At 49.2% G+C, this 11961-nt stretch overlaps 1 protein-coding gene across 4 annotated transcripts in view, besides 4 other annotated features; it reads left to right on the top strand.

The window, feature by feature from the left end:
• Positions 4873 to 5282: a silencer, noted in NCBI's record as "silent region_7210". NCBI's record gives its function as "represses an Ori minimal core promoter by ATAC-STARR-seq in GM12878 lymphoblastoid cells {active_cell/tissue: GM12878}" and the evidence as "EXISTENCE:reporter gene assay evidence [ECO:0000049][PMID:35858748]".
• Positions 4873 to 5457: a biological region, named in NCBI's record as "H3K27ac hESC enhancer GRCh37_chr16:11890813-11891350".
• Positions 4920 to 5457: an enhancer, noted in NCBI's record as "H3K27ac hESC enhancer chr16:11890813-11891350 (GRCh37/hg19 assembly coordinates)". NCBI's record gives its function as "activates a minimal SCP1, AML or CMV promoter by ChIP-STARR-seq in primed H9 embryonic stem cells {active_cell/tissue: H9 hESC(primed)}" and the evidence as "EXISTENCE:reporter gene assay evidence [ECO:0000049][PMID:30033119]".
• ZC3H7A (zinc finger CCCH-type containing 7A) overlaps positions 5156 to 11961 on the top strand; it is a 46662-nt gene continuing 39856 nt past the window's right edge. For 2 of the 4 annotated variants that reach the window (NM_014153.4, XM_047433997.1), the window contains exon 1: positions 5156 to 5290. The gene's annotated coding sequence lies outside the window, so the exon portion shown is untranslated. Of the gene's footprint in view, positions 5291 to 5885; positions 6196 to 11961 lie in introns of those variants that run through there. The other 2 variants (XM_011522463.3, XM_047433996.1) reach the window with 2 other exon arrangements.
• Positions 5765 to 5924: a silencer, noted in NCBI's record as "silent region_7209". NCBI's record gives its function as "represses an Ori minimal core promoter by ATAC-STARR-seq in GM12878 lymphoblastoid cells {active_cell/tissue: GM12878}" and the evidence as "EXISTENCE:reporter gene assay evidence [ECO:0000049][PMID:35858748]".

Here is an 11961-nt window from a genome sequence, read left to right as displayed (position 1 = left end):
ATTAAATTTTCCCAAAAAAACACACACAAAAAAAACAAAACCCCGCTTCTTGCAGAGCAGGGCTACCCCACAAGCAGTGTGCCCAGAATAGCCTGTCACCATCTCCTTTATGGTATCTTCATAGCATTCATTGATAACCACCCTGTATACTTCTCAATCTGGCATCTATATCAGTGTCTTTAAGTACTGTTGCTTCTACGTCTCCCCCTTTCCCCACCTTTTTTGTTTGTAGCGACACTGTCTCACCATGGTGCCCAAAGTAGTTTCGAACTTCTGCCTCAGTCTCCCAAAGTGCTGGGATGACAGGTGGAGCCACTGTGCTCGGCTTCTGCCCACCCCTGCTTTTTCTTTAAACATAATACTTAGCATCCTCTAACATACTCTATGATTTACTTATATTGTTGTCTGTTTCACTCTCCTGGAATGTAAACTTCATTAGGATAGTGATCTTTGTTCTGTACTGACACATCCCATGAATTTAGAATAGTATCTGGCACAGAGTAAGTGCTCTGTAAGTATTTCTGGAGAGAATGAAGAGGTCACTCCTAGGTGGCTCCACAGACTCCTCCGCCTACCCTGGCCACCCCTAGAATCACTGATGAACACAGCCTGAATCCTTGACCTGACCGTAGGCTGGGTGAGGGCAGGAATCCTGTCTTATCCAACTTTGTACCCTCAGGCATGGGGCACATAATAGGTCCTTAGAGAGTGTACTTGTCAGTGTAATATCCAATGAAGAAACTGAAAATTTCTCCCACTAGAGTGGAAGCCTGAGGAATGAGTCAGTCTATTTTCCTCAGCACTACAGCACCTAGTGCTACCAGGGGTGGGGGAATAGGGAGTGTCATCACCTCAACAAGGGCTGGAGATGGGGATTCCAGGAAGCAGGCACACCCATACGCAGATGTCCTTTACTTTGCTCTCTGTGGTAGGCAGAATAATGGTTCCCCAAAGATGTCCACATGCTGACCCCAGTAACCTGTTACCTAGCAAAAGGGAGTTTGCTATTGGGATTAAGTTACAATCTTGAGATGAAGAGACCATCTTGGGTTATCCAGGTGGACCCAATGCAATCACAAGAGCTTTTTTTTTTTTTTTTTTTTTTGAGATGGAATCTCACTCTGTCACCCAGGCTGGAGTGCAGTGGCATGAGTGCCTCAGCCTTCCAAGTAGCTGGGATTACAGGCACCCGCCACAACGCCTGGCTAATTTTTGTATTTTTAGTACAGATGTGGTTCCGCCATGTTGGCCAGGCAGGTCTTGAACTCCTGGCCTCAAGCGATCCGCCCACCTCAGCCTCCCAGTGTTGTGATTACAGGCGGGAGCCACCGCATCAGGCTTTTTTCTTTTCTACATGCACCACTGCATTAGGATATCTCCTACTCACGCTTCTAATCAGATCTTAGCCTCAGGCTTGCTTGAGACATCCACTCCAGAAGTATTTAAGGGGTGCTACCTACTATCAAGGGGCTGAGAATATAGGACAAAAGAAACTGGTTTGGGCCAGGCGTGGTGGCTCATGCCTGTAATCCCAATACTTTGGAAGGCCGAGGTAGGTGGATCACCTGAGGTCAGGAGTTCAAGACCAGCCTGACCAACATGGAGAAACCCCGTCTCTACTAAAAATACAAAAATCAGCCGGGTGAGGTGGCGGCGCACGCCTGTAATCCAAGCTACTTGGGAGGCTGAGGCAGGAGAATCGCTTCAACCTGGGAGGCAGAGGTTGCAGTGAGCCAAGATTATGTATTGCACTCCAGCCTGGGCAACAAGAGCAAAACTCTGTCTCAAAAAGCAAAAACAAAACAAAACAAAAAAAGCAGAGTCTCTGCTCTCCTGTAGGGTTGGAGGCCGACCACAAACAAGCGCCCAAATGCCTGAGACAGGAACAGCACTGGGTGGTCACAGGAGGATGGAAAAACCCAAACAGCTGAAACAGGAACTAGGCAAATAAACCATAGGATAACAGAAAACCCAAGGGAGAGAAGATGGCCAAAACTCTGGCCAGGGTGACATGTCCATGCTTCTTCCAGCAAACCCAGATAAGGAAGAAAGGAGACAGTAATTGAGGTGGAGGTCCCTGAAATCCCCTCCCTTTCCAGAATGCCTAACGATAATTCCATCCTGTAACTAAAAGAAACACCCATAAAATTAGGAACCCAAACTCCATTGTGCAAGACTCATTCTCACGGGCATGCCTGCACTTCTCTCTTAAATGTGTATGTTCACTTTGCAATAAAAGCTTCTTGCAGCTCGGTGCAGTGTCTTACAACTGTAATGCCAGCACTTTGGGAGGTCAAGGTGGGAGGACTGCTTGAGCCCAGGAGTTTGGGACCAGCCTGGGCAACATGGCAAAACCCTGTCTCTACAAAAACAAAAAAAACCCCAAAAACTTAGCCGGTGTGGTACTAGTCCCAGCTGCTCAGGAAGCTGAGGTGGCGGGAATCACCCGAGCCCGGGAGATCAAGACTGCAGTGAGCCATGATTGCGCCTCTGTACTCCAGCCTGGGTGACAGACTGAGATCCTGTCTCAAAAAAAACAAAAACAACAAACAACAAAAAAAAACCTTCTTGCCCTTTGCTTCATTCAACTCATTCTTGAATTCTTTCTCTCCAAGGTGTCAAGAACCTGGAAACTGGCTGGGGCTGGGGTGTCACCAGTATCCAGAGACCTCCTGAGCCTTCTGGCAACAGGACTAGACGAGGTCATTTCAGATCATGATGACTGCTTGGAAGATCAGATAGGGCGCTGTGTTAGTGAGCAACTTTTAGATGGGCTGTCAGTGAAGGCCTCTCCAAGAGAGGCTACTGTAGTTGAGGCCTGAATGATGAGCAGCCTCTGGTCACGAGAATAATCCACCCCTTTCTTTTTCTTATTTTGTTTTGAGACGGAGTCTCGCTGTGTCGCCCAGGCTGGAGTACAGTGGCGCGATCTCGACTCACCACAACCTCCACCTCCCAGGTTCAAGTGATTCTCCTGCCTCAGCCTCCCCAGGAGCTGGGATTACAGGCGCCTGCCTCCATGCTTGGCTAATTTTTGTATTTTTAGTAGAGACAGGGTTTCACCATGTTGGCCAAGCTGGTCTTGAACTTCTGACCTCGTGATCCCCCTGCCTCGGCCTCCCAAAGTGCTGGGATTATAGATGTGAGCCAGTGCGCCCGGTATAATCCACCCCTTTCTTAGAGGAGCTTCCCTAAAACCACAGCCCATCAGCTCTCCAATATCTGTTGCAGCACTTACCTGGTGTTACGGACTGAAACGCTCCCCGCTCCGCACATACCCACCCCGGAGTCCGTATGTTGAAGCTCTAACCCTAATATGGCTATTAGGCATATTAGGCAGTCATTAGGGTTAAATGAAGTCATAGGACCCTTATACTTTTTTTTTTTTTTTTGGTACAGACTCTCTCTCTCGCCCAATATGGAGTGCAATGGCGCGATCTCAGCTCACTGCAACCTCTGCCTCCCAGGTTCAAGCGATTCTCCTGCCTCAGCCTCCCGAGTAGCTGGGATTACATGTGCACGTCGCCATGCCCGGCTAATTTTTTGTATTTTAGTAAAGACGGGGTCTCATTGTGTTGCCCAGGCTGGTCTCCAACTCCTGAGCTCAGGCAATCCATCTGCCTCGGCTTCCCAAAGTGCTAGAATTACAGGCGTGAGCCACTGCGCCTGGCCTAATACGACTATTTGAATACGGCCTTTTAGGTAGTCACTGGGGTTAAATGAAGTCATAGGGTGGGGCCCTAATCTAGTAAAATTGTTGTTCTTGTAAGAAAAAGGAAGACACACCAGGGATTCCTGCTCACAGAGAAAAGGTCATAGGAGGACACAGTGAGAAGGCAGCTGTTTGCAAGCCAGGGAGAGAGGCCTCACCAGAAACCAGCCCTGCCGGCACCCAGACCTTAGATTTGCAGCCTCTAAAACTGTGAGAAAATAAATTCCTGTTGTCTAAGCTGCCTGGTCTGGGGTATTTTGTCATGGCAGCCTGAGCTAATACTCTGGTTTGTAAATCTACGTCACCCAGACCCCTGGAAGAGCTACTGTAGCTAGAGTCCCCACTTCCCCTCTTGTCTCTCCTACAGCCCAATCTCTGCATAGTAGCAGGAGAGAACTTTCTAAAATATAAATGAGACCTCGGAACTCCCAATTCAGACTCAATGAATGACCCCCTTCCACACAAAACTCCAAATTAAACATGGCGGCCCCCCTGTGTCACAGATCTTTCTCCCCTCTGGCACACATCAGCTATGCAGGCCTTTCCTGTTATCCAGACACCGAACTCCAGCTTCAGGGCTTTTGCACTCATTTCCCCTCTGCCTGCGGCACACTTCCCCGAACACGGTTGCATGGCTGTCACCTCCTCAGAGGCTTTCCCAAAAGCTCCTGTCACATCCTCCTGCTTGAATTTCTTTGGTCTTCACCGACCAAAATGGTCTTCTTTGGGCTCTTGTGGGTCCTGATCTCCGCCCTCCATCCCATGGGGCAGGGACCCTGCCTCGCCCACTGCTGAGCTGAGCATTTTACAAGAAGCCGTGCCCGCAGCGGGGCACCTGGCCGTAAAATGCAGATGGACGAGGCGGCATTTGGGCTGGGCCCTGAAGGACAGGGATCCAGGCCTTCCAAGAGCCGGCAGATGGAACTGGAGGGAGGCTGTCTTTGGATCCCCGGCTGCCGTGGGGCTCCGCGCCTCCGTTCCTCATATGTAGGAATGAAGACAATCACGGTTGTTCTGAGGATGCAGGGTTACTCTTCGCAGAGCAGGGCGCCCCGGTTGAGGGCTCGTCAAGCTAAGCAGGCTCCAGGGTGGGCTTCCCGATGCCGACTCTAGCTCCTCTCCCCGCTGGACGCTGTTCTACCTCCTAGCGCTTCTGCTCAGGCCGCGGCCCAGGCGAGGCCCCAGAAAACCCCGGTGCTGGTTAATCAGTCTTGAGTCCGAGCGCGTCCAGTGCGCAACGTGGCCTTCCCATTGGCTCACCCAGTGGGCCGCGCGTCGACGCCGGGGCTCCGGATTGAACGGCGCGCCCAGGTCCCTGCCCCCAGTCAGACGTGGCGCCACCGCCCCCAGCCCGTAGCTCCGGCGCAGCCAATGGCGGCGTCTCCCGGGCGGCAAGCGCGGCCTCCCGCCGCTAGAGGGCGCCGCCGCGGGCGCAACCGAGCCGCTGCCGCCGCCGCTAACCGAGGGAGAGCTGCGAGCGAGCACCCAGGCCCCGCCGCCGCCGCCGCCACCGCTGCCCGCCTGCCGCCGCCCGCCTCCGCCTGCCTTCTGCCGCCGGCCGGCGCGTCGTCCCCACAGGTAGGGGTAGGGGGACGCCGCCGGGCATGAAGGAAACGCGCGCGCCCGCGCCCCCGCCCCCCCCGCGCGCGCCGCCGCCTCGTGCTCGCGCGCGGCCGTTAACGGACGGCGGGCGGGGCGGGGGAGGGGCGGCGGGGTCCGGGGCCCGCGGACCCGAGAGGACCCTGAGAGGAGCCGGGCCGGGGCCTGTGCGCGCGGAGGGACGGGTGGGCGCGCCGTCCCCTTCCCCCACCGAGAATAACGTGACCCACTTCTGCCTGCCATTCCCTCGGCAAAATGTCTCCTTTTTGGTGATTTCACTAAAAAAAAATTTTTTTTTTGGTTATTTCTGTCTGCTCTGGTGATCGCGGGGATCCCGATTCAGCGTCTTGGGCTTGGGGGCGGGAAGGATGCCGGCGGAGAGCTTGGCGCATTAATTTGGGGCTCATCCGTCTTTTTTACCCCCCTTTCTGATTTTTTTATTTTTTCGCGCGGGGTGCAGCCCTGGGCCGGGCGGGGAGAGGCCTTGGGGTCCGCGGAGGCGGGGGCGCCGCCCGGGAGGACCGGGACCGGGACCTGTCAGTTCCCATTAGCGGGGCTTCCGGTCAGGCCTGGGCAGCAAAGGGGTGGGGCCGCCTGAGGCCCGGCCGGGGCCTCCGAGGTCGAGCCTGAGTCGGGACTGGGTGGATTTGCCAGGAGTTGGGTATTTTCCTGTCCCCACCTGTCTAGGGATGAAAAGGAGTTGCCCGTGTTCGGTATTGAACCACGAAGGACCTTGCCATGCCCAGTACGGTGGCCACTGACCCCCCGCCGTTTGGGACGATGGAGCCCACGAAATGGGGCCAGTTTCAGTTGCGGTCCCAGCTGTGAAACGTACATCTGATTTTAAAAACTTCGGATGAGAAAGAAAGTAAAAGATGTCATTGGTAATCTTTTATACTTAAATGCATGTTGAGATGGTCATGTTTGGGACAAATTGGATTAACGAAAATAGATCATTAAAATTAATCTTGGCAGGATGCAGTGGCTCATGCCTGTCATCCCAAAACTTTGGGAGGCTGAGGCAGGAGGATCGTTTGAGTGCAGGAGTTCAAGACCAGCCTCAGCAACATAGTGAGACCCCTGTCTCTACAAAAAATACAAAAAATTAACTGGGCGTGGTGGCGCACGCCGGTAGTCAGCTACTCGGGAAGCTGAGGTGGGAGAATCTGCTACTCGGAAGGCTGGGGTGGGAGAATCCCTTGAGCCCAGGAGATTGAGGCTTCGGTGAGCTGAGATTGTGCCTTTGTGCTCCAGCCTGGGACACTGTCTCAAAACAAACAAATAAAAAAACAAAAGTTAATCTCACTGCTTTTCTTTTTCTCTTTTTTTAGTGTGGCTATTTGGAAATTTAAAATGACATATACGGGCCGGGCGGGGTGGCTCAACGTCTGTAATCCCAGCACTTTGGGAGGCCGAGGTGTGTGGATCACCTGAGGTCAGGAATTCCGAGACCAGCCTGGCCAACATGGAGAAACCCCGTCTCTAGTAAAAATACAAAAATCAGCCAGGCGTGGTGGCAGGCGCCTGTAATCCCAGCTACTGGGGAGGCTGAGGCAGGAGAATCGTTTGAACCGGGAGGCAGAGGTTGCAGTGAGCCGAGATTGTGCCACTGCACTCCTCCCTGGGCAACAGAGCGAGACTCCCTCTCCACATACATGCGTACATACATACATACATACAATGACACGTATGGCTTATTTTGTGTAATATATTTTGTACAATATTTCGACTGGACAGCGCGCAGCTGGGGCATCTGAATGGGTGGTGGCCCTGAGAAGACATGTCTATCTGCTTATCTTTCCTGCTTCTCTGATGGCATGTGGCCTCCTTCCCTTAAGCTCTCAAAGAATCCACTGCCTCTTCCTTCTCATACTGAGCCAAACTGTTGAACTGAATTGCACAATGGGTCTTGTCCTAATTTGCAGAATAATTCAAGTTAATGGACAGTATTTTCCCTGTTGAAAAATTTTCCCTATCTGCTGTATGCTGGAGGCTACAAATAGTTGTATGAGGTTTGTCTCAGGATGAGATCATGAGTTGTTGAGGCTCAATATTATCAATATTTGTGCGTGTGTGTTTGTGTGTGTGTGTTTATTCTACAAAGAGCCCGTTGATTTTCTGCCATCCAAACGAAGTGGAGAATTCCTGCCTTTCTTCATGTTACTGTGACTTTTCGTTGGGGGTTTTACACAGACCTACACCCTCTTTCCTTCCCATTCCCCAGATTCTGTCAGTTTTTGCAAATAAGAATGGTGGCTTGTCAGCCACATTGTTCCACAATTCTTAGTTTTGACTGATTTTAAAACCTGCCAGTTGGGGTGGGTTAAATTGTCATTGTAAGTGGAAGAGAATCAATTATAGAAACTCTCAACTCCAGGGATGGTGAGAGTGACTGTTGGAAAGTTTTGAGCATTTCAGTAAAGGAAGAAAGAAACAAAAGACGTCTGTATCCTGTTGCCACAGATACCCTAGAAAGGGCTTTCTAGAGACAGTATGATGTGAGCAAACTTTTGTCTTCTGGATAACGTCTGGAAGTGTTCTGTTTTGTTTTGTTTTTTTTCTAGTGAAAATATTTTTCTCCAGAATCCTTATGAAAATTACTTAAAGTGTGAGGTGTTGGCAAATCAAGAAGAAATTTTAGATAATTTTTAAGGAGGAGAGAAGTATTAAAGTATTAATCCAGAAGTTTAAAAATTACTGCTAGTGATAACGTTTTAATTTACATGTACACAAAAGGCATATTAAATGAGGTGATTTTCGTTTATGTAAAGCAACGAGGTTACTTTTTCACAAATAGAAAGCGGGAAGCTTTATGTTTTCTGAAAAGGCCTGAATTTGGAGCAGGACATTAATCTGGCACATTTGGTAAGAAGGTGAGAGTGTGTTGGGGTTACTTGGTTGGGAAGACTTCATCGGCTGGCGGTCTTGGGTACATCGTGGTGGTATCAGTGTCCCCAGGCAAATCATTTGTCATGAAGCTTTTACATGAAATATTCCTGTTGAGTTCTTCCATACAGAGGTCATAGATAAGATGAGATGTTCCTGGGAACCACCACTTAGCAGGGCGTGGGTGCCGAGGGAGGCTCTTGGCAGGCGGAGCCTCTTCGCAGAGGGAGGCTCTTCAGGCTCTTCACAGACTTTGTATCTTACTGAATCTGAAATCTGACAGCAATTTCAAAGTGAATAGTTCCTGTGGGGGGAAGAACTCCAGCCAAAATGTAACATTACCTTCCTGCTGTTGTTTGGCATACTGTCTCTCATGAAATTTTCCTTTTCAGTAAAAGGGAGAAACTGTTTCATAAAGTATCCAATAGGAGCTTCAACAACTTTAATGTCTTATCATCTGGGTTTGCAGCCTTCTGAGGCTTGCCTTGTGCCCCAGGTGCTTTTGTAAGTGTTGCAAGAGCCAGTTAATATACTGTTGCCAATTAAGGATGACAATAATGATACTTTAACTACTTTGTAGTTGTTGTTTTAAAGCTATTAATATTACACAGGCTTCAGTCTGGGGATAGAATTGAATATGGAGTGGAATGTATCATTTTTCCTCCCCCCCACCCCCTTTTTTTTGAGACAGGATCTTGCTCTGACACCCAGGTTGGAGTATAGTGGCATAGTCATAGTTTGCTGTGACCTCAAACTCCTGGCCTCAAGCAATCCTTCTGCCTCAGTCTCCCGAGTAGCTGGCACTACAGTGTACACCACCATGCCCATTTAATTTTTTAAACATTTTTATAGAGATGGGGTCTCCTATGTTGCCTAGGCTGGTCTCAAACTCCTGGCCTGAAGCGATCCTCCCACCTCAGCCTCCTAAAATGTTGGGATTACAGGCATGAGCCACTGCACCCAGCCTGTAATTTTTCACTTGAAATGTAGGGATACCTTTTTAGGCAAAAGTACAAATGCTGTGCTAGGTGACCTCTGCACTGCCTTCACTGGGAGACTTTGGTCCTGTGTTAGTACATCTTGTAAGTAAGGCTGTTTTAATATTATTTGTATTTAAATACATTATGTTCTGGGTGGAGCAGATCCCCTTGAAAGATTTTCCCTGGAGTGATGTCCAGACTCCTGGCCTACTGCATTCCTGTGAAAGCCCTCTGCTTTGTCTGAGTTGCATTAAATGACGTCTGTTGAGCATATCTTTTTGTGTACACAAGTGCACACGCATGCGTGTGTTTCTTTCATTTCTCCTGAATGGCTTTAAAGTGCCCACCTGTTCATCAGAGCCATATTTGTCTTTCAGAGCCCAGCCCAGGGCCACCCTAGACAGATGCTCACTCCCCTCCAGGCGTCTTTGGCACGTAATGTGCAGAAGAGCCAGGTGGATAGGCTCTCAGGCTTGGAGCCAGGCTGTCTGCCTTTGAAATTGAGCTCTGCTACTTCCTAGGTGTAATCCTGGGCCAGCTGCGTCACTTATCTGTATTTCAGTTTCTTTATAGTACCTGTCACTTAAGGTTAGCAGGAGGATTAAATGACTTAATACGTATAAAGCATGTAGAACAGTGCCTGGAGTCCAGTAAGAGCTACTATTTCTGTCTCAGTATGTTGCAGTCACATTTCCCTTACCTTGATGTCTTCTGTTAATGTGAGCTAGTTTCTAAAGTTACCATGTAAGGTCAAAAGCTCATGGATGTGGATTTATTTGTCTAGTTACCAACATTGTACTAGACTTTGGGATAATGAGTTTAACCTACCAGGCACTGAGTAAATAGTAAGGGAGTTCTGAAGATCCAGGATACCTTGAGATCTTACATAACTTCAAGATTAGTAACAAATTTTAAATCAGCTGATCCCAGAGAGATGATATTCCAGTTTGTAAGAGTTCAGTTAATTTAATGAAATTCTTATTTAATTGAGTTTCTTGCTTTAAAATGAACTGTTCAAAGTATCTCTCCTTGGGCCAGACACAGGTCACGCCTGTAATCCCAATACTTTGGGAGGCTAAGGTGGGTGGATTGCTTGAGCCTGGAAGTTTGAGAACAGCCTGGGCAATATAGTGGGACTCTGTCTCTACAAAAAATACAAAAATTATTCAGGTATAGTGGCATGTGCTTGTAGTTCCAGCTACTTGGGAGGCTGAGATGGGAAGATTGAGCTCTGGAGGTTGAGGCTGCAGTGAGCTATGGTTGTGCCACTGTACTGCAGCCTGGGCAACACAGGGAGACACTGTCTCAAAGACAAAACAAAAAAACAAAGTGCCTTCTTCCCTGGAATTCTTTTTTATTTAGGAGAAGAGGGGATCAGTGAAACTTGTCATTGTATATCTTGAGGAATCCCTTATGGTTTCAGGTTTTTTTCCGTCGCTGTCTCCAGGCAGTTCCCACTATATTGATTCACTTCCCACCTTGTTTCCCCAAAGGGTTGGGGGCCAAGCCCCACTATAACCAGCTCTGTTTGCATGCAGTCATTTCCTGCTGGGCACCCTCCTTCTTCACGCTTGCTTCTTGTGAATGGTTTTACCAGCTTCTATCTCCTGGGCCTCTGAACTTTGTATGAGGCATTCTCTTTACACTGGGCTGCTTACTTCATTCTTTGTTCAAGTATTTGTTGAGCTGGACCCAGATCTTGTTCTTACAATGAAGCATGAGAAGTAGCAGGTACCTGCTGAAGTGAATAAGAGGGGTGAGACTGGGGTGAGGCAGCAATTTAGGGTGGCAAGGGAAGGTACCTAACAGTGTTATTTAAGCCCACTTGTGGATGGATGAAAGGGAGGCAGCTCTGTGAAGAGCTGGGAAGTGTATTTTGGGCAGAGGGAACAACAAACACAGTGACTTAGAAGCATGGAGTGCCTGACTTGTTCTGGGAGCTCTTAAAAGGTCAGTGTGACGGGAGCCTCATGTGTGAAGCTGGGGGAGGCAGGAGCTGCGTGGCTTGGGGATGGGGGTCTGCTAGGTCACCGTACGGAGGCAAGGCTTCATCCAGCGTCCCAAGCAACTGCTGAAGGGTCTTAAGCAGAGTGCAAGCATTGGGATGTGTGTGTGTGTGTGTGTGTGTGTGTGTGTGTGTGTGTGTGTTTTAAAAATTTATTTTAGAGACAGGGTCTTGCTCTGTACCCCAGGCTGGAGTGCAGTGGTGTGATTATAGCTTGCTGAGCCTTGAAGACCTGGGCTTAAGCGATCTTCCTCCCTTAGCCTCTGAGTAGCTGAGACTACATACAAGCAGGTGCCACCAGTCTGGGCTGATTTTTATTTTTATTTTTTACTTGTTTTATTTATCTATTTATTTTTGAGGCAGAATGTTGCTCTGTGGCCCAGGCTGGAGTGCAGTGGCGCAATCTTGGCTCACTGCAACCTCTGCCTCCTGGGAGAGACCGAGGTGGGCAGATCACCTGAGGTCGGGAGTTCAAGACCAGCTGGACCAACATGAAGAAACCTCATCTCTACTAAAAATACAAAATTAGCCGGGCGTTTTGGCGTGTGCCTGTAATCACAGCTACTCGGGAGGCTGAGGCAGAAGAATCGCTTGAACCTGGGAGGCGGAGGTTGCAATGAGCCGAGATCGTGCCATTGCACTCCAGCCTGGGCAATAAGAGTGAAACTCCGTCTCAAACAACAATAATAACGACGACGACAACAACACCTTTGCTGTCAAAAATAACCAAAGTCAAAAGATTGACATCAAATTGGAAAAAATACCAATAACATCAGAAA

The sequence above is a fragment of the Homo sapiens genome, chromosome 16 (assembly GCF_000001405.40).
Source record: "Homo sapiens chromosome 16, GRCh38.p14 Primary Assembly".
Lineage (NCBI taxonomy): Eukaryota > Metazoa > Chordata > Mammalia > Primates > Hominidae > Homo > Homo sapiens.
Note: the sequence above shows the minus strand (reverse complement) of the source record. Positions and strands in the feature narration are given on the sequence as shown.